Source organism: Homo sapiens, chromosome 22, assembly GCF_000001405.40.
Source record: "Homo sapiens chromosome 22, GRCh38.p14 Primary Assembly".
Classification (NCBI taxonomy): domain Eukaryota; kingdom Metazoa; phylum Chordata; class Mammalia; order Primates; family Hominidae; genus Homo; species Homo sapiens.
In genome coordinates, this window is record NC_000022.11 from 19,779,593 (window position 1) to 19,800,687 (window position 21,095).

General features: G+C 52.4%; 2 protein-coding genes and 1 pseudogene across 2 annotated transcripts in view, besides 4 other annotated features; 2 read left to right on the forward strand and 1 right to left on the reverse strand.

Annotated features, from left to right (window-relative positions):
- Window positions 1–4,001, forward strand: part of TBX1 (T-box transcription factor 1) — a 26,891-nt gene extending 22,890 nt beyond the window's left edge. Inside the window, exons 9-10 of the mRNA NM_005992.1 lie at window positions 3,321–3,440; window positions 3,722–4,001. Coding sequence (NP_005983.1) covers window positions 3,321–3,430 — 110 coding nt within the window. The 3' untranslated portion in view covers window positions 3,431–3,440; window positions 3,722–4,001. The remainder of the gene's footprint in view (window positions 1–3,320; window positions 3,441–3,721) is intronic.
- Window positions 3,631–21,095, reverse strand: part of GNB1L (G protein subunit beta 1 like) — a 71,652-nt gene continuing 54,187 nt past the window's right edge. Inside the window, exon 8 of the mRNA NM_053004.3 lies at window positions 3,631–9,368. Coding sequence (NP_443730.1) covers window positions 9,117–9,368 — 252 coding nt within the window. The 3' untranslated portion in view covers window positions 3,631–9,116. The remainder of the gene's footprint in view (window positions 9,369–21,095) is intronic.
- Window positions 3,921–4,421: an enhancer, noted in NCBI's record as "H3K4me1 hESC enhancer chr22:19771036-19771536 (GRCh37/hg19 assembly coordinates)". NCBI's record gives its function as "activates a minimal SCP1, AML or CMV promoter by ChIP-STARR-seq in naive H9 embryonic stem cells {active_cell/tissue: H9 hESC(naive)}" and the evidence as "EXISTENCE:reporter gene assay evidence [ECO:0000049][PMID:30033119]".
- Window positions 4,422–4,922: an enhancer, noted in NCBI's record as "H3K4me1 hESC enhancer chr22:19771537-19772037 (GRCh37/hg19 assembly coordinates)". NCBI's record gives its function as "activates a minimal SCP1, AML or CMV promoter by ChIP-STARR-seq in naive H9 embryonic stem cells {active_cell/tissue: H9 hESC(naive)}" and the evidence as "EXISTENCE:reporter gene assay evidence [ECO:0000049][PMID:30033119]".
- Window positions 12,683–13,562, forward strand: RPL7AP70 (ribosomal protein L7a pseudogene 70; annotated as a pseudogene).
- Window positions 17,647–18,352: an enhancer, noted in NCBI's record as "H3K4me1 hESC enhancer chr22:19784762-19785467 (GRCh37/hg19 assembly coordinates)". NCBI's record gives its function as "activates a minimal SCP1, AML or CMV promoter by ChIP-STARR-seq in primed H9 embryonic stem cells {active_cell/tissue: H9 hESC(primed)}" and the evidence as "EXISTENCE:reporter gene assay evidence [ECO:0000049][PMID:30033119]".
- Window positions 19,619–20,200: an enhancer, noted in NCBI's record as "H3K4me1 hESC enhancer chr22:19786734-19787315 (GRCh37/hg19 assembly coordinates)". NCBI's record gives its function as "activates a minimal SCP1, AML or CMV promoter by ChIP-STARR-seq in naive H9 embryonic stem cells {active_cell/tissue: H9 hESC(naive)}" and the evidence as "EXISTENCE:reporter gene assay evidence [ECO:0000049][PMID:30033119]".

The following is a 21,095-nucleotide window of genomic DNA, read 5'->3' on the forward strand; positions in this document are numbered from 1 at the left end:
TGGATAAAACAAAGTAAATTTCTCCTGACATTTAAACATTGACTGTAAACTCATTATAAACACTTCTAAATATTTAATGGAAACTACAAGCTTAACATATCTGATCCAAAAATGCCTTAAACACCTCAGTACAGACACCCACACACTATGAGGATGATTCCCTCAAACTGGTTCTGAAAGCAGTAGCTGTGCTTTTCTCTATCGCGTTCTTATTCTTTCTCCGACGTGCTCTTAGCACCCTCCTGGGGATTAGCATCCGACCCACATCACTCGGGAAAAGCCCTGGCTGGCGGCTCCCAGGCGGAGGCACCACGGTGAGGCCAAGTGCTGCTGTCCAGTAAGCCTGACTGCCCCCTCAGGCTCTTTCCCTTCACATTTACTTATTTATTTTTTAAATCGACATATAAAATTGACGTATTTATTGTGTAAACTTCTTACCACAAAAATGAGAACTATGTCAGGTGATGTATTTGCTAGTTAGCTAGACTTAAGCAGGCCTTTAGTTTTCAGTTTTTAACATTGAGGGAAAATACACGTAAATCAAATTTACCATCGTAGCCCTTTGTAAGTGTACATTTCAGTGGCATGAAGTCCATCCACATGACTGTGCAGCCATCACCACCAGCCATCTCAGAACTCTTCATCTCAGAAAACTGAAACTCTGTCCCCATTAAACAAGAACTCCTCATTCCCCTCCCCTGGCAGCCAGCATTCTACTCTCTGTCTCTGTGAATCTGACTACTCTAGGCGCCTCATGTAAGTGGAATCACACAGCATTTGTCTTTTTGTGGCTGGCTTAGTTCACTGAGTGTAAGGACCTCAAGGTTCATCCGTGTTCTAGCCTGTGTCGGAACTCCCTGCCTTTATAAGGCTGAACACTATTCTGTTGTATGTCTGTACCACGTTTTGTTGATTCATTCTTCTGTCAATGGACACTTGGGTTGCTCCCACCTGTTGGCTGCTGTGAGTAATGCCGCTATGAACGTGGGTATAGAAATATCTTTGCAGCCCTGCTTTCAGTTCTCTTGGGTATTCTGCCACAAGAGGAACTGCTGGCTCATATGGTAATTCTATGTCCAGGATTTTGAGAAATGACCACACTGTTTTCCATAGCTGCTACTCCATTTTTACATTCCCACCAATAGCGCACAAGGGTTCAGATTTCTCCACACACTTGTTTTCTGTTTTTTTTTTTGTTTTTTTTTTTTGAGATGGAGTCTCGCTCCGTCGCCCAGGCTGGAGTGCAGTGGCGCGATCTCGGCTCACTGCAAGCTCTGCCTCCTGGGTTCATGCCATTCTCCTGCCTCAGCCTCCCGAGTAGCTAGGACTACAGGTGCCCGCCACCACGCCCAGCTAATTTTTTGTAGTTTTAGTAGAGACGGGGTTTTACCATGTTAGCCAGGATGGTCTCGATCTCCTGACCTCGTGATCCACCCGCCTCAGCCTCCCAAAGTGCTGGGATTACAGGCGTGAGCCACTGCACCCGGCCCTGTTTTGTTTTTATTTTTGGTGTACCCATCCTCATGGGTGTAAGGCAGTATCTGTCTCATTATAGTTCTGACTTGCATTTCCCCAGAGGATAGTGATGCTGTGCCTGCTGGCTACTCATACATCTTCTTTGGAGATATGTCTACTTAAGTCATTTGTCTATTTTTTTTTAATTTTTAATTTTTAGAGACAGGGTCTCACTATGTTGCCCAGGCTGGACTCCAGCTCCTGGATTAAGTGATCCTCTTGCCTCAGCCTCTTGAATAACTGGGTACATACCACGGCACCCAGGATGGCCCATTTTTGAATCGGCTTTTTTGTTGTTGTTGAGTTTTAGGAGTTCTCTATATATTGTGGATATTAATCCCTTATCAGATATATGGTTTGTAAAGATTTTCTCTCAGTCTGTGGGCTGCTTTTTTACTCTGTTGATGGTGTCTTTTGATGCATACAACTTTTAAATTTTCATGAAGTCCAGTTTGTCTATTTTTTTCTTTTGTGAAATGTGCCTTTCGTGTCATATCCAAGAATTTATTGCTAAATTCAATGTCATGAAGCTTTTGGCCTATGTTTTCTTCTAAGGGTTTTATGGTTTTAGGTCTTAATTTAGGTCTTTGCTCTATTTTGAGTTTATAGGGTATGAGGTGGGGGATCAAACTGCATTCTTTTGCATTTGTAAATCCAGTTTTCCCAACATCATTTGTTAAAAAGACAGTCTTTTCCCCCATTGAATGGTCACCACATTAAAAATCATTTGGCCAGCCAGGTGCAGTGGCATGTACCTATAGTCCCAGCTACTTGGGAGGCAGAGGTAGGAGAATTGCTTGAGGCCAGGAGTTCAAGACCAGACTGGGCAACGCAGTGAGACCCTGTTTCTAATTGAGAAAAATATCACTGGTTTATTTCTAGGCTGTCTATTCTATTACATTGGTCTTTACATCTGCCTTTATGCCAGTACCACACTGTTTTGATTACTATAGCTTTATAGTAAATTTTGAAACCAGGAAGTATGAATCCTCCAAGTTTATTCATTTTAAGATTGTTTTAGCTATTAAGGGGTCCTTGAGACTCCATATGAATTTCAAAATGGCTTTTTCTATTTCTACAAAAAATGTCATTGGGATTTTTGAAGGGAATGCATTGAATCTGTAGACTGCTTTGGGTAGTATGGATATCTTAACAATGTTAAGTTTTCCAATCCATGAACATGGGATGTATTTCCATTTATTTATGTTTTAATTTCTTTCAGCAGTGTTTTATAGATTTCAGTGTACAAGTCTTTCACCTCCCTAGTTAAGCTAATTCTTAAGTATTTTATTATTTTTAATGCTGAGTCTCTTTTGATAACAAAACCTCTTGTTATGTTGAGGAACTCTTTAGCCCATCTTTTGTATTTGCTTTCAGTTTGTGACACTTTAGCATCTCTTCCTGAGATGAGCGATTCTTTGGGTTTCATGGATGGGAGAGCCCATTGCATTATCCTTTCATTTGGAGATATTGCCTGGTGTGTTGGGACAAGGAAGGACTAACCTTCCTTGTCAGTGTCTTATCACACCCGCAGGGCTGAGTGACAGGGTGGTCCTGGGCAGGCTGCCTGTGGCTGTGCAAGCTGAGTGGGTGCACACTGGACTCTTCCCACCTACTGATGGTGTGTGAGGCTGATGTGCATGGATTCTAGCTCCTTCCCTGTTTCTGGGGCCTCAGCTGTCTGTGTTCACTCTTTCTTGCTACACAAAGAGAAACAAGGACAAGCCTTATTTGATAAAGGCCACAAACACTTTGACCTTCCTCCACCCAGTGTAGGGATCTGTTTCCCCTCTCCTGGACTCCAGGGCTGGTCACAGAAGGCTCTGGGCTCCAACCTGGCTTGCTGGACGTGCTCTTGAAGCCCCCAAGTAAGAAGTCTGAGTCCCTGAGACCACCACACTGCAAGGACACTTGAAGGTACTCAGGTTGGTGGTCCCCGCTGTGCCCAGCCCCTGAATGAAGCCAAGGCTCCAAGCACCTGAGTGAAGAGGCTGTGATGGAAGCGAATCCTCCAGCCCTGGCCATCACCCCGTGGAGTAGACAAACTGCTCAGCCCAGCCTCTCCTAAATTCCCGACCCACGGAGCCCACGTGCCCAGAATGGCTGTTATGCTGCTCTGTTTGAGGTGGTTTATTAATGTAGCAAGAGATAATGGCACCAGGATGAGGCCAAATGACTCGATTTCTCTACACCCCACATTTTACAGGTTTCAGAGCCCAAGTCAGGAGGTCAAGTGTGCATGCAAGAGGTGGCAGGGGACAGATGTGCTGCTGTTCCCAGGCCACCTGCACAGCTGGATGGTGGAAGCAGTTCACTTAAAGGCCATGAGTTACTCGGGAGGCTGAGGCAGGAGGATCACTTGAGCCTATTAGTTGGAGGCTGCAGTAAGCTATGATCATGCCACTGCACTCCAGCCTGGGTGACAGAGTGAGACCCCCACTGTCCCTGGTCTCTTAAAAGAAAAAACAAACAAACAAACCAAAAAACAAAACAGCTTATGAGCACCTCCTACTAATTTCCTCAGCTTAGCACACCCTGTGGCCGTTGTCCCCATCGTCCGTGGCTTCATCCCTCAACTGATGCTTTCCTATGTGGACTTCCCGGCCAGTGCTGTGGGACCTCCCCTGTAGGGCTGGCCAGCCTCATGGGCTGGGCTACCCGTCCCACTCAGCAGTGGCTGCCTGGCCTCCCCTCTGTCCCTCCTGCCCAGCTCCTAATGGGCCTCCCATAAAAGCTGATGCGTGGGAGCCAAGCCACAGCTCGCTGACCTGGGGAAGCTGACAGAGTGACAGAGGGTCTCAAGGACTCTCCACCCACAAGGCGGGAATGGGGATGCTGGCAAATCTGGTATGAAGGTTGAGACCCCGAGGAGAGGCAGGCCTGGGGGACCGTGCAGCAGCTGTGCCCACCTAGGACCACAGGGCTGGTGGGGCTGGCAGCTTGGTAGAGGGCAGGTGCACAGCAAAGTTTTCACCGGTGCCGGCTTGTTGTCTTCCACGCTGGGATTTCACATGAAGTTCTAGCTAATTGAGTATAAGCATTTCTAAAGAACCCCCGGAGGGTTGTTTTTCTTTGTGCAAACACTCCTTTTGTGCAGAGGGTGTTCTGTGGCTTCTTGGCAGAGACACAGGTGGGAAACACCTGATTGAACATCATTGCCTGGGGAGTGGAGACACGCACAGCACGTCAACATGGAGCGCCCAGCAGCGGCGGCGGGTCCTGGGCTGTGCTCCGGAGCCCTTCCCGGGATCATCTCCCGGCATCGGCTGACCCCTCGGTGTCTACGTGCCAAGCCCAATCTGCCTGCAGGGACACCCACTGCCAGAGGCGGAGGCAGGTTCTCCTGGTCCCAGACCCAGGGCCGTCTGTTGGCCTGCAGGTAACACGCAGGGAGGAAGGAAAAGGCTCTAGGCACAGCTGCTTGTCTAAGAGGGACCCTGTTGGCGGCGCAACGCTGGGTGAGTGCTGCCCGCCCGCGGATGGGGTGCTGGCCGAACCTACCTTGTAAAGTGGGGCTGCACAGAGGTCAGCACATGGTGGCGCCCACCGTCGAGAGGGGAGGCCCCTTGGCACTGGAGGCAGGGCCTCACCAGGCAGACGTGCCAGGACCCGCGTCCCTGCACACAGCTGCCCACCGGCCAGTGGAGTGGGACCTGCTGCCCCTCTGACAGCTCCTGGTAATCAGAGGGGCCCACTCCACCTGCACCGGAGGCAGCGGCTGGGGATGCTGGAGCATACGGCTCCAGCCACTCAGGATCCCACTCTGGGCCGTGAAAGTTACTCCACAGAACACCCCAAGGCCACCCCTGCTGGCTGTGAAGACACCACCAGGCGGACAGTGCCCAGGGCTGGGGCTCACAGCCACGAGAATCTGGATTTGAACAGAAAAAGCCCCCAGCCGCGCTGCCACCCTGACGCAGCCTTGTGGGGCCCTGAGCAGAGGACCAGCTACGTTGTGCCCGTGCCTCGACACATGGAAATTCTTCCAATAAGAACAGGATGGTGGGCCGGGCGCAGTGGCTCAGGCCTATAATTCTAGTGCTTTGGGAGGCTAGAGGCGGGAGGATCGATCGCTTGAGCCCAGGAGTTCGAAACCAGCCTGGGCAACATAGCGAGACTCCTTCTCTATAAAAAAAAATAAAAAATTAGCTGGGCATGATGGCCTGCACCTATGTGGGTGGTCCTGAGCTTCTCGGGAGGCTGAGGCAGGAGAATCGCTTGAACCTGGGAATCAGAGGTTGCAGTGAGCCGAGACTGCTCCATTGCACTCCAGCCTGGGGGACAGAGTGAGACTCTGACTCAAAAAAAAAAACACCCCAAAAACACAGGATGGTAGAACACACCTACCTGAGTTGGCACTGAAAATGGCAAGAAATGTCCGCCGTTGTTTCCAAACACCAAGTTCTCTCTGGCTTGAGAGGCCTCACTGCTACCCAAGAGCATTATGGAGGAAGATGTGGAAGGGCTGCCTCTCCCAGTTGGTGGGTTGGCCAGGGGCGTGATGGCAGCGACCAGCCATGCTGCCAGGAGTCGCCTCTCAGGTTCATCCCAGGAGCTGCATGCTGACCTTCGCGTGCTGCCTCCGGGCCACCCCTCCTCCCCACTTAATGCCTTCACTGCTGGCTCTGTTGGCGTTCCTGCCAGCCTACAGGAAGTGGCTGTTTGCTAGGAAGAGAATGCCAATGTTCAGGTGCATCTTTTCCAAGCTGGATGTCTGGAGCTGAGACCGTTTCTTCTTCTGTTGTGGGGGTTTCAAGGCTGGTCAGACGCATGGTGATTCATCACGACCCAGGTTCTGTTGACACAAAGGCCGACCTGTCCAGAGCCACATGGCTCTGCTGTGGACACCACGGAGCAGCTCAAGAGAGGAACAGGACCAGGAGGGCTGCACTGCTCTTGGCCGGCTTGGACCCCAGCACCGGTTCTGCTGCTCTCCCAGGCAGCTCAGCCAGGTGAATGAAAGTCCTGGGCCTGCCCTCCACAGGACGTCTATAAGGCCTCAGAAGCTGGATCTGCCTGGCAAGGGGGGCCCTATCTGCCTAGCCACCCAGATGCGGGCACGTGGCCCCGTTGTGCACTGGAGGGGTGAGGGCTGTGTTAGGCATGCAGGACTCACGCTGTCCCGACTCCATCCCTGCACACTGAGATTCAGAACAAGATGTGCCTGGACACTGCTCAACGCCACATGGCCTGGGGCAGGGAGCTCAAGGCCAGGCTAGGGGGCAGCCGCCTGCCATCCACCCTGCTTGTGCCTTTGACTGAAAGCACGAGGGCCAGGGGCCAACTCAGGGTCTGTACACCCTGCCCACAGCTCTTCATGGCCTCTATGTAAGACATCAGCAGGCAGTGCCACTCGCCAACCTCATGCTGGCATGCACACCTGGGCCCTCATGTGGGATACCCACCTCGTGGCTGTGGGACGTAGGGAGTTTTGTAACTACAGTGATGATGCCAAAGATGACAGGGACATAAACAGGGGAAGGGGTAGAGGCCCAGAACCCTCAGGGTGGGAGCTGAGGCGGGGCAGATGTGCCTTTGGCAAGGCTGTCAAGGGCATGCAGGGAAACTGCAAAGCCAATTCCCACTCCACCTACCCTGCCGCTGTCATGGGGATGTCAGAACCTGACACCTTCCCTCACTGTGACAGCCTGTGATGAGCACCCAGGGCACAGCTCCCTCAGCACCTGCAGTCACTGCAGCCTAAACCCAGGACCCTTCCCCTCCCTGACACCTCAGTGATATGAAAATACCTCCCGGAGTGCCCTACGCATCCTGGCGGCTATAGGACACTCGAGGAAAAGCAGCAGGGCCCCCCTCTCCAAAGGTCCTGGGCACCTGGTGGCCACCCTTGTCCAACGGAGCCAGGCCAGTACCCGAGCCAGGTGGTCTCCAAGCTTGGGCCAGGGGCCGCTTTCCCGGCCAGCACTGACATTCCCGTTTGATGGAACGGTCCCCATGGTACCTCTGACCAACAGAGAAGTGTGGTCACAGGACTCCTCAAGGACTCCGGGCCCCCCAGCAACCATGTTCCTCACAGTGGGGTTGGGGAGGCACGGCCTTGGGACCCCCTGCAGTGGGTGCACAGGTCTCACTGACAAATCCAACACCCCCATCCCCAGGCCTTGGAAGCCCTCCTCGGCTGTACCCCACGGCGGCTGGCCATGTCCACTTCACTCAGTGCAGCCACCCTCAGGCTGTAATCCAGCCCCCACCCCCAGCCCGGCACTGGAGCCTTCCTGGCCCCAAGCTGCAGCGCCCAGTCCAGCCCTCCGTTTGGCAGGTCTGTTCCGGGAACTCCCCTGATCCACCCCTGCTCCGGCCACCTGGATCCCACACCCTTCCGATCCGTCCCACACATGTTCAGATTTCTGCCTGGAAACCTGGAAATGCCATGTGGTCCTGCAGGAGGCTGGTGCCACTCTCAGGGTCACCCTCTGTATCTCATCCTGGGGGTCTGCTGGACTCGAGTCTAGTTCTAGGACTAGAAGCCCAGGTGGGGGTCCCAAGGAGCATCGGCAGGGCCTTGCAGGGCAACTGCCTCAAGGGAGGCCACCCCGGGCCTTCAGCTAGAGGGGCTCTTCCGGCAATCCGGGCAGACACAGGCGTGTGTGGTCCCAGCTTCTCTGGATCTGCCCATGGGCCCCACTCCAATATTCAGGGTCATGGTTCTTTCCCAATCAACACCCGCTTTTAGGAGGAGACGACCGGCCAGGCTGGGCCCGGCTGCATGCAGTGTGAGGCTCTGGCTGCTAAGTCCTGCTCTTGCTGTGTTGTGCCCTGGGGGCCACCCTGTGTGCAGCCGCAGCTGTGACTGTGGCCTTGGCCACTGTGAGGCGGTGCTTGTCACACTCCCTTGCTGCTCTCGTGCCTTCTGCCCAGCACTCACCTGGAGGTGCACCCTGTGCGCCTTCCCCACTGCACCCTCTGCGGGCAGGCGTGCCCTCCCGGATCCCACATCTGGCCTGGCCCTGTGCGCTGCAAGCCCCCCTTGCCGTCCCTCACAGGCACCTTTCTCTGCTTCACTCTTTAGGGAGTTCAGTTACTTCCTGATCCTGATCCTGGCCTCAACCTGTGTGTTGGGAGCTCCTGGCCTCCTCGGGGTGAGGGGTCATGTGGACATCGACGCAGCTATGGTTGGGGCCTATCATCTCCTGAGGCCTGGCCCAGGAAACCCACACTCGGGGTGGCCCATTCAACAGCAGGTGTGAGGGTGGGGCTGAGCATCCTGCCTGGTGGGGGTCTGAGGGCACTGATGCTAAGTGGGGGACCAGGGCCTCCTCAGGGAGCTCCCACCTCAAGCCTGCAACTTGGCAATGGAAATTTATTATAAAATACCCTCAGCTGGCAACACAGCAGGCCCAAGCCAACGTCTCCTGCAGGCCTCGGACGGCCAGGGCTCTGGCTGGCCCCCAGAGTCACCGTCCTGTGATGAGGCACTCCACAAAAGGAAATACCAACCTCATGAAGACAGCGGGGACTCCATGGTCCTTGGGCCATGACTTGCTGGTCCTCAGAGGCCCTTGAGGTTTCAGGCCAAGGCTGGGGCCTGATGCCCACCTCCCTGCCCGCCCTCCTCGTCTCCCGGGAAGGGAGTGGGTGAGTCATGCGCGTGGGTAGAGTGACCAGAGGCTGATCCGCTGATCCTTGGAGCCCGCGGCCAGCAAGCCATCGGCGGTGAAGGCCACGCACTGGACAGCGGCGCTGTGGAAGGCCAGCACGGCCAGTGGCTGCATCGTCCGCCAGTGGAACACGCGGATGCGGTGGTCCCAGCCTGCGGTGGCCAGGATCTTGCGATCTGGCCGGATCGTGACCTCGGCGATCCCGGGATTGGTGAGTTCATGAGTCCCACGCACCTGTGAGAGTTGGGAGAGGTGTTAGGCCACTCCTTAAGCCCACAAGGCAGTGCTGCCCCTGGTGCCCCACCTGCAGCTGGAACCAGGAGAGACGCAGGCCCACAGGCCCGGGATGTGAGGGCCACACGCTCCTACCCAGCTGACCTCCCACTCTTCCTAAGGCCACGATGGGGGACTCCAGCCCTCCCCTCAGAGTGGTCTTCGGCCCTGCCCTGCTGCTCCTCGCACCAGCTCTGACCGACTCCTTCCCCAGTCAGAGAGCAGCAGAGACAGGGAGGTCCCAGCTGCAGGAGAGGGGCTGGGTCCCGGGACCCCTCACCCCAGGGAAGCCACTGCACCCTAGTGCCTAGCGAGAGGCCACGTCCCGGGCTTGATGGCAGCAGAATGCTGGCACTCCTCCCAGAAGAACCTCACAACCACCCCAAAGCTGACGAGGGTGAGAAATACAAACTCCATTTTCAGCAAAACCATGAGGTATGTGAACCCCCAAGCTCGACAGGGCTGGGAGCGCTGCCAAGAGCAAGACCCAGTGGGGGGTTGGCAGGATGAGGGGGGGACAAGGGGGAGACGCCCTGGAGGCGGCAGGAGCCACACAGTGTACCTTGCCTGGTGGGGGCAACGTCCCCGGCTGGGTTCTGAGAGGGGGTAGGGCACTGCACGAGACCCGGAGCCACACAGACAGGTCCTACGTGCACGGGGCCGTCGGGGTGCTGGCCTCTTCCTGGGCCGAGCGTTGGGGCCAGGGGGTGGTGGCATGTGCCTGTAATCCCAACTACTCGGGAGGAGGATCACCTGAGCCCAGTGGATGGAGGCTGCAGTGAGCTGAGATCACTGCCACCGCACTCCTGCCTGGGCGACAGAGTGAGACCCTGTCTCAAAAAAAAAAAAAAAAAAAGATACGCTCTAATAAAATTATTAGACTTCATAGCTAAAAAACCTTTGGTGGCCAGACAAAAAGACCATGTTGATGAGGGTGCTGTTTAGGCCGTCCTCAGAATGCTCCACAGCCACAGGGTGCCAAGGGATGACGGGGTGATGCCTGCAAGGCTGAGGAGGAAGGCGAGGTCCAAGTATTTTATATCCAGCCAAACTGTCGCTCAATTATAAAAACAACAGACCAACATTTCTGAACATGTAAGAACTCAGAGAATCCTGCACCCATAAGCTGTTCTTGAAAGACTAGAAGATTAACTCCAGTCTCGTAAGAGATAACTGGAGAACTGCAGCAAATGGTCTGGCAGGGAGCACTGGACCCACTTGCCTATAGGATCAGCTCTAAGACAATATGGGGATTACGGCTATGGAACCGGTTATTATAACTCACAGAAATATGGGAGGCACTGAGAGAGATGGGATGGTTGTTAAGTTCACTGATTTAGCTCAGCTTTTGTCCTTTGGGGCCAAAGATATAATAGTCAACCTCATCCCCGAGAGATTATCTGAGAACCCCCCACCATAAGTAATGACAAAAATAGCATTATTTCCTTCTCCTCTCCCACCTCACTGTAGGTGCCTATGTTTCCTTGTATAGCTGCATAAAGTAAAAAAAAGATCTAAATATACTCAACAGGCTGAGTGTGGTGGCTCATGCTTGTAATCCCAGCTGCTTGGGAGGCAAAGACAGGAGGATTGCTTGAGGCTGGGAGTTTGAGGCTGTAGTAAGCTAAGATCACACCACTGCACTCCAGCCTGGGCAACAGAGTGAGACCCTGTCTTTAAAAAACATTACAGATTAGCCAGGTGTGGTCGTGTAGTCCCAGCTACTTGGGAGGTTGAGGTTGGAAGATCATTTGAGTCTAGGTTTATGATTGAATTTCAAAGTGAAATCTAAATCTATGCTAGGTACAAGGAGGATGCCAAAGGAACTCTTGGCAAAGATATACTGGGAAAATGCAAATAAGAACAGGGTAATCTGAATAATAGGAACATTTGAATTCAGGGCCAAAGCATTAGGTAAGATTATATAAAAGACTTAACAATGATAAAGAGTACAATTCCCAATGAAGAGCCATATAATCCCAGCACTTTGGGAGGCCAAGGCAGGAGGACTGCCTGAGCCCAGGAGTTCAAGACCAGCCTGGGCAACATATAGAGATACTGTCTTTACAAAAAAAATTTTTTAATTAGCCATGCATGCTGGCATGCACCTGTAGTCCCAGCTTACTGGGAGGCTGAGGTGGAAGGATTGCTTAAGCCCAGGAGTTTGAGGCTGCAGTGAGCTGTGATCACACCATTGTACTCCAGCCTGGGTGACAGAGCAAGACCTTGTGCTCCCCACCCCCCAAAATAACTGTAAATATCTGTTTAGCCAGTAAACTGACATATCATCCATAAAGCAAGAACAATAGGAAAGTGTCTATAATTGAGAAACTGGTACCAGACTAGTCTTCTTGCTGTAAACAACCATAAAAAGTGGACAAAATACACAAGGCAACTGTTTACAGGCAGGGAGCACTAGGCAGAGAAGGGCAGCTGATGAGGTGGGCCTCCCAAATGCCCCCACAGCTCTCTGCCTGGAGACAATGCCATGAGCATGAAGTCCAGGCAGAACATAGTGGTCACATTAAGCTGAGGAGGCAGAGATCATAATCTGCAGTAGCCAGAGGGCTGAAATCCATGGGGCAAGGCAAAGGAACAGAGGGAGCTGAAGATTGTCTGAGGGGGTCCCTATGAGTCTTGTGTGAGGGCTGGACTGCGCATGCTCACGGTGGACTCCACAGGGCTTACCAGAGCTGCACAGTTAAACAGAACAAGTTCAAGAGGTCAACAGTGCCGGGGGTCCAGTCAGCCTGAATGTGAAGACTGTGTGACAGCCTGAGACCAGCTGAGCTACCAGAACGGCTTCACTTCAGGAATAGGATTCTATCTTAGAGTATGGCCTACCCTAGATCTACCAGAACAAAACTAGAAACCAAGCCCTGAAAAGGTCTGCAGGAGAGGCAGAGTTTGGAAGTTGAGGTCCACCCCACTAAACAAGCCTGGGAATGAACTTTCCACAGACCTGCCCTAACAAAGCCAAAAGCCAAGCCTGCACAAGCTCAAGGTGAACAGTCAGTAACTGAACTCCATACCAGAATGAAAGCAAACACTCTTCAGAGCAAAATAACAGAACCCAGAGATTCAGCATGTATCATTTACCATGTCTGGCACACAAACAGCAAATTAGTAGACATGCTAAGAAGCAGGAATATATGACCCATAGTCAAGGGGAAAAAGCAGTTAATAGAAACTGACCCCAAAATGGCAGAGATGTTGAACATATCAGATAAAGACTTTAAAGAAACTCCTTAACTATGTTCAAAAAATGAAAGGAGCTCTCTCCCACCACCCAAGATGCCAAAAGGAAAGAAGGCCAAGGGAAAGAAGGTGGCTCTGGCCCCTGCTGTCATGAAGAAGCAGGAGGCTAAGAAAGTGGTGAATCCCCTGTTTGAGAAAAGGCCTAAGAATTTTGGCATCGGACAGGACATCCAGCCCAAAAGAGACCTCACCCACTTTGTGAAATGGCCCCGCTATATCAGGTTGCAGCGGCAGAGAGCCATCCTCTATAAGCGGCTGAAAGTGCCTCCTGCAATTAACCAGTTCACCTAGGCCCTGGACTGCCAAACAGCTACTCAGCTGCTTAAGCTGGCCCACAAGTACAGACCAGAGACAAAGCAAGAGAAGAAGCAGAGACTGTTGGCCTGGGCTGAGAAGAAAGCTGCTGGCAAACGGGACGTCCCCACCAAGAGACCACCTGTCCTTCGAGCAGGAGTTAACATCGTCACCACCTTGGTGGAGAACAAGAAAGCTCAGCTGGTGGTGATTGCAGACGACGTGGATCCCATCGAGCTGGTTGTCTTCTTGCCTGCCTTGTGTCGTAAAATGGGGGTCCCTTACTGCATTATCAAGGGGAAGGCAAGACTGGGACGTCTAGTCCACAGGAAGACCTGCACCACTGTCACCTTCACATAGGTGAACTCGGAAGACAAAGGCACTTTGGCTAAGCTGATGGAAGCTATCAGGACCAATTACAATGACAGATACGATGAGATCCGCCGTCACTGGGGCGGCAACATCCTGGGTCCTAAGTCTGTGGCTCGTATCGCCAAGCTCGAAAAGGCAAAGGCTAAAGAACTTGCCACTAAACTGGGTTAAATGTACACTGTTGAGTTTTCTGTACATTAAAATAATTAAAATAATACAAATTTTCCTTCAAAAAAAAAATGAAAGGAAAGTGTATTCAAATAATTACCCAAAAAATTGTCTTGAGTGAGCAAATAGGAACTCTTAGCAGAGAAATGGAAATTATAAAAAAGAGTCATAATAGAAAATATAGAACTGGAAAGCTCAATACTGAAATGAAAAATGTATTGAATAGGCTTAACAGTAGATTGGAAATATATATTTTTTAAAGTCAGTGAACTGGAAGACAGATCAACAGACATTGCCCAATCTGAAGAGAGAAAAAACGACTGAACCAAAACAAACAGAGCCTCAGGGGGCCATGGGATGCTATCAAACTGTGTAACTCATAGAAGCCCCAGAAGGAGGAGAAAGTGAAAATGGTCAAGAAGAAACAGTGGCTGGATATTTCCCAATTTTAATGGGAAACACGAATATATAGATGAAAAGCTCAGCAGAACCCAATCAGGACAAGAAGAAAAATCTATCTAGGCACATGATAGTCAAACTACTGAAAACCACAGATAAAAAAAAATCTTGAAAGCAGCCACGGAGCAAGACATATTACATGCATGGGAATGATAGGATATCATGAGTTCTCATCAGAAACAATGTAACAACATCTTTACAGGGCATGAAGAAAAATAAAACTATCATTCCTAAATTCCATAGCCAGGATTCTGTAAAAATGAGGGTGATAAAGACATTTTTTAGATAAACAAAAGCTAGAGAATTTTTTGCCAGCAGAATTGCACTACAAAAAAATGTTAAGAGGATACTTGGGTCTATAGGATGAGCACCAGAAATGGCAAAGGGGTGAGTAAATGTAACATGTTATGTTTTTTATTTCTTGTAAGTTTTTTTTTAAACTGATGATTTAAAGGAAAACTGGCCAGATGCAGTGGCTCATGCCTTTAATCCCAGCATGTGGGATTGCTTGAACCTAGGAGTTCAAGGCCAGCCTGGGCAACATAGTGAGACCCTATCTCTACAAAAACTTATCCAGGCATGGTGATAGGTGCCTGTAGTCCCAACTACTTGGGAGGCTGAGGCAGGGGTTTGAGGGTGCAGTGAGCTGTGATTGCACCACTGCACCCCAGCCTGGGTGACAGAGCAAGACCTTGCCTCAAAGAAAAGGGAAACTAATATTGTAAGGTGCAGTTTTGAATGTGTGTAGACGTCAAGTAGATCACAACAGTCACAGAAAGACTAAAAAGGTGAGTAGAAGGGATTGCACCAGCACAAGGTCATCATGTTTGTGAGGCGGGATGTAAACAACACTGATTCTAAGGAGACTTTGAGAAGGTTGCACACTCTTGGAGTGCAACCACTTAGGAACAAAAGTGGCAAGAGGTCTAGCTAAGAAGCCAAGAGAGGAAACAAAACCGAATACTAAAAAATAAATATTTGATTACCACAAAAGAAGGTAGGAAAGGAGGAAAAGTGGTCAAAAATGGAAGTGACAAGTAGAAAATAAGTATAGAGGTGTTAGACTTAATCCCAGGCATGTCAATAATTACAGTGAATGCAAACAGACTAAATGCACCAGTTAAAAGGCAGAGATTGTCAGAAAGCATCACAAAGCAAGACACATCTGTCTGCTAAAGATGCTTTTCATTGGGAGGCCGAGGCAGACGGATCACGAGGTCAAGAGATCGAGACCATCCTGGACAACATGGTGAAACCCTGTCTCTACTAAAAATACAAAAATTAGCCGGGTGTGGTGGCGTGTGCCTGTAATCCCAGCTACTCGAGAGGCTGAGGCAGGAGAATCACTTGAACCTGGGAGGCGGAGGTTGCAGTGAGCCGAGATCACGCCATTGCACTCCAGCCTGGTGACAGAGTGAGACTCCGTCTCAAAACAATAAAATAAAATAATAAAATAAAATAAAATAAAAGATGCTTTTTAAATATCAAGAGGTCAGGACAGGTTGAAAGTAGAAGCAAGGAGGAAAATGCAAAGGGCAAACCTAAGAAAGTCGATGCTACTGTTTAGTATCAGACAAAGCCAACTTCAAGACAAAGAGCATTAACAAGAGACAAGGGACACTTTGTGCTGAGAAAAAGGCTCTGCACCAAGATGAGGTGACATCTCAGCGCCTATACACCCACACTGAGCCCCAGAGCTTCAAAGCTCATGAAGCAAAACTGGCAGAGACAAAGAAACAGGCACGTTTGCAATCACAGTTAAAGATTTTAAGAGCCTTCTCTGCGTAACTGGTAAAAAAAAAACAAAACTAGACCAAAAGATCGGTAAGGATATTAAAGACTGGAACCACGTCCACTGACCTGGGTCAGGCTGACGGAAGGCTCCACCCCACAACTGCGGAACACACGCTCCTTTCAAGTCCATGTGGTGCACTCCCCGAGACACGCCATGTGCTGGGCCAAAAGCAAGCCTCCATAAATTTCTAAACACTGCAATTGCACTGCGTGCATTCACTGACAACAGAATTAAGCTAGATTAAAGATATAGCTACAAAATCAACGAATATTTGGAAATTAAATAACACACCCCCACCAAGGAACCTACAGATCAAAGAGAAAATCACAATATTCTGAACTGAATTAAAATGAAGACACAGTAAGTCAAAGCCAATGAGACTGAGTCACATGGAAGGTGGCCAGGCTGGGAGCTGAATTCTCAGCAGCCCAGGGAGGTGGCAGGACCTAGACCCATGGCCCAGCAGCTGCTGCTGCTCAGAGAACGGCCCCTCAGCATCCAGGCCCGTGCATCAGAGGCCACCAGCACAGCCACCAAGAGGCCCCTGCCTGAGGAATCCCTAAAGGATGCGCTTTTTGGCTTCCAGAAGGAGGTCTTGAGATGTAAGAACACCCAGGGCAACGCTCACACACGACATGCAATCATCGATGTGAGAACTGGCTCCATAAGAGATGTGTCTACGCCTGGAGGGCCAGGAAGGTTGGAGGTAAAATGATTAAAATGTAAAGGCTATAAAGGGAAGTAGTGACCAAAAGAAACCTGGACTGAGCCATATTAATAGTTGGAAAAATAGGCTTTGGGGCAAATGTCCTTTCTAGAGATGATGAGGGGGAATGAAGAAAAGACCTCATTCACCAGGAAATCACCATTTTAAACTGGCATGTTCCCAGGCCAGCTTCAAAGTGCATAAAGCAAATACAGACAGGCCCCCAGCAAAAGGGAACAGGACAGGCCTCTCTGCGCCTGCTGGGGACCATGGTGACCTGCAGGATGACTTAAAGGGCTAAGAATCAGTGGACACACGGGCCTGGCGCCCACGTGTGCAGCGGGGCATCTGACAACCAGCACTGCCTCCCTGGCACATGTGCAATGCTTATGAAAACTGGACGGCCCCGCATTTCAAAGAACTAATATCATTCAGACCTTGTTCCCAGACCACAATGTTAATTAAGTTAGAAATTGAAAACTAAAAAATAACTGGGGAAAAAAATCAAACATTCAGAACCATAAAAACATTCTAATTAACTCAGCAGCCAGAGAACAAATAAAAATGGGGTCTTTGTGTCAAATGAGGAATATGGGGAAAAAATAATAAAAATGGGGTCTGCCTGGAAGTGGGGGGAGGAAGACAATGTCTTCTTGCACCAGGGAGCCCAGCTGGACAGTCACCTCTGGAAACAGGCTCCATGTGGGGCTGGCAAGGGAAGGCTGAGTGCCGATGGGCTGTGCACCTGACCCCAGGCAGGGCAGCAGATGCAACCCAGGGGACATGGGATGGAGGGAGAGCATGGCAAGGACAGAAACAATGAACAGAAAGATAGAAATGCTCAAGGACAAACGCATACAAGACTGATCAGGAATAAAGCAGGGACGGAGCTTTGAATGCGGCAGAAATTTAAACAATCATCACAAGCAGTCCAAAAAAGGTCACTAGGAATACAACCTTCAGGATTTGTATGCCCACAGACAAATTCCTAGAAAAATTCCCCAAATCAGGAAACCTAAATTAGTCCACAAAGAAAACAACCTGGGCAGAGAAAATAACTGCCCAGTAATGGTGCAGGCGAAGACCAACCTACAGTCACTCACGACCCCCCACCTCCACCGCCCAAATGTGTCCATCCATCGGGAGAAGAGGGAACGCTCCCCACCAGCTCCCTGAGCCTGGGGCTCCTGTCACTAGGCAGGTGGTGGGAGAGGGAGGCCCAGGTCCGTCTGTGGCCCTGGGCAGTTCTGGCCCAGCCCAGCAGAGTGGGCGGAGCACATGTCACACACGGGAGGGGGGGTGGGGGTGCAGGCGGTGATTTCAAGACTTTTCCCTGAGATTCAGGGACAGACTGAGGATTTTAGTTGTTTTAATGTTTAAGAAAACTCCAACAATGCAATGAACAGATTCAAGAAGAAAACCTGTATGAGTTGGAGAGATGCAGTGAGATCATTTAGTGACATCAGGCACCCATTCAAGACCCAGATTCTTTCCCCAGGAGGGGTGGGAGGAGCCTCGCCTGGCGAGGAGATGCCACCAAACAACCCACAGCCAGCGCAGCCCTCACCCTGGCCTGGGATACCACCGCCTGCGCCCCCAACACTGCTCTAGGCTCCTGGCCAGTGAGGTAGGCGCCTTGCCATGCCCTCAGCCACCTCGCCGTCCTACCTCAACACCAGCTTGTCTCTCAAGGCCAAGCCCCTGCAAGCCCATCATCCTGCCCTTTCAAGGCCTCTCCAGGGCCCGGGGCCCCCTGGTTCACGGACTTACCAAGGCCTGCAGCCCTGACCCCTCTCATGGCCCCTCCCCTCCCACCGCGCACTGTAACCAGCACAGTCCCAGCACATCCCAGACGCTCTGCCTGTCCTCTACCTCTCTTGCCTGGCAGACCTTGGCTCTGGGGGTCTCGGCGGTATCCTGCCTGTGCACACACAAGCAGCTGAATGTGCTGCAGCACGACACACAGCCATTGGTTGGCAACCGCAAGCCCAGGCTGGCCTCAGTGTCCAGAGCACCCGGCCTTGGCGCTGCCTCCCCTCCCTCCACACCAGCCCCTACCTCCCCACTTGGCTCCCTGTGACCCGGCTGAGGGGCTGTCAAGGCCAGCACCTGCTGCGCGGGGCCGTCAAGTCCAGCACCTGCTGCGCAGGGCCGTGAGGGGATGCTGGCATGTACCTGTCATGCGTGTGGGGTTCGCCGCCTGTGCTTGCAGACCCAGGAGCCCCTCCCCAGCTCTCAGGGACCAGAACACAGTGGCCCAGGGAAGGAACTGGCGGCTGGGAAGAACAGGAGGCTGATTTGATGCCATCGTCACCCATTTCTCTCCTGTGACCTCTGCCCTAAGTCAGTGGTAGAGAGGGAACAACAGGCCACACGCCATGGGCCTCACTGGAAGCCACTGGGGCCTGCTCAGGGCCCTCTTGACAGGAATTTGCTGGCAGGTCCTTCCCAGGGAGAAAAGAGCTGCCAAATGCCTGGAGCCACAGGCGTGTGGGGAGGTTTCCGTAGAAGTCCTGACCAGGGATCTTCACCTGTGGAGGCTGAGATGCCCAGTTCCTCCTGCCCAGCTCCTGCCCAGCAGCCTGGCTGTGCCTACCCACCAGCCAGGCGGCCACTGCCTGCAGGGACAGGAGCGACCCCACACCCACCTCAGCCATTCTCAGAAAGCAGTGACAGCATCAAGGTAAAGAAAACCAGGTTCAAGGACCAGCTTCCCGCAGGAAATGAGGATGATGCGGGAAGCCTGGTGGGGCCTCCTGGAGAAAGACTAGGGCCTGCTCCAGCCCTGTGTTCCTGAAGAAGAGGAGGACTGGTCCTGGCCCTGCAGTGACAGCAGCCAGGGCCCTGCACTACCGTGCTCCTGATGGCAGATGGAAACATGTCCACGCCCTGCACAAGCCTCTCCTCCTGATGCGATGCACGGGGAGCTGACCCGGGGCCCTTTGGCCTCCCTCCTGGCTGCCCAGCAGCTCTGCTACTGCCCTCTAAAGGGAAGCCTCTGGCAGACAGCGCAGCAGCCACCACTGCTGTGCAGATGGGAGCGCAGCTGGGACACCTGGCCATGTCTTGTGGGAGAGCCACGGTTGGTCCACTTCCCAGACCAGGGCTGCCTGGGGTGGGGGAGCCTCATTATTACTTAAAGCCCTAAGAATATGGCTGGCTGTAAATCAGTCCCCACTTCAAGGCTGTGGGCACTACCCCAAAATGTGGGAGGGAGAGGGCCTGCGTACCACCTGTATCTGATGACAACACAGGCTCTAACTGTGACAGCTCACGGGAAAGCCGCCTCAGCAAGGCAGGCTCAGGGCTCCAGTCACCACTTGACCCCGAGGCACCCTCAGGTGGTATCCTGATGTGGGCAGCCTCCTCGTCACCACCGCGGCCCCTGGCCAAGCCCCAGCCTGGACCTGGGCCTTCCAGGAAGGATCTCTGGCCACCAGTGGCTCTCGTAGCGCATGACCTCAGGTGCCAGGAATGCGTGGTGCGGCGAAGCCACCATCTGGTTCCGATTACCCATGCTCTGCTCCAGGAACCTCATTCGCGTCTCTACTCCCAGCACCCGCCGGGGGGAGACTGATCTGGGCTCATCAGAGGCTTCGGCAGGAGGGTGTGAGGGGGACACAGCCGTGCCCACGTGGCTCTCAGCCAAGGAGTCACAGTGCAGGCGGTGGGTGAGGACACCTGTGGGTGCTGAGGACCTTCGGTCACCTTGCTTGCTCCCGGGTGGCAAGAACGCTCTCAGGCAGCTCACCTCCGAAAGCGCCCCCACAGGCTTTCCCTGAGGCTGGGGCTTTACAGAACCTGCAATCTCCAGGGCCTCTAGGATCAACGTTAAGATGTGACATTGGGCAGAGGGTGGCGCATCAGCCTCTCCGGCTCCCTGTCCCCTGTTCCTGGAGTCGCCTGTCCCCTCCCAGGCCTCCTCCTGGCCCATGCAACACAGGGCTCAGCAGGGGAAACGCCTCTCCTTCGATGTGCACCATGGGCCGATGCCCTGCCCAGCACGCCACAGCCACGCCAACCACTCCCTGTTCCTGGTTCTCCCTTCTGCTCTCACTTTCCAATTCATTAATACCTGGTCCCCCTTTTGCTTTAACTTTTCAATTCATCAATCCGGTCAAGTTCATCTCTGGACTGGAACATGCCCCATAAATTACAGTCCTAAGTTCCAGCAGCTGTTTCCCAAACACACCAGGAGAGACGAGGCAGATCTGGGCCAGGACGGCAGGAGGGCCCCTTCCTGGGGTCCTGGGCACAGAGGTGGAAACTGCAGAGAAGAGCCCTCCGGGGGCTCTCAGGGAAGCTGTCTGGGTCTTCAGCGCTTTGCTGTCAGGCTGGTGAAGGACAAGCCAGTGCCAAGTGAACACTGGACCCCATGGGGGCAGCCCTGCAGGATCCCTGCCAGGCTTGAGGAGGAGGGAGGGAGTGCAAGGGAGACGCCCCTTCCAGACATGCAGACCCAGCACCCAGAGTGGCTCTGCCTCCCAGCGCCCAGAGCAGCTCAGCTTCTAGCTGCTCAGAACGGGCATCATGATGATGACACATCCACCGACCACCCAGGCCTGCTAAGCCTTAGGAGACCCTTCCTCCCGGGGAGACATGAGAAGCTCTGCCGCTTACATCAGGGCCTTGTGCC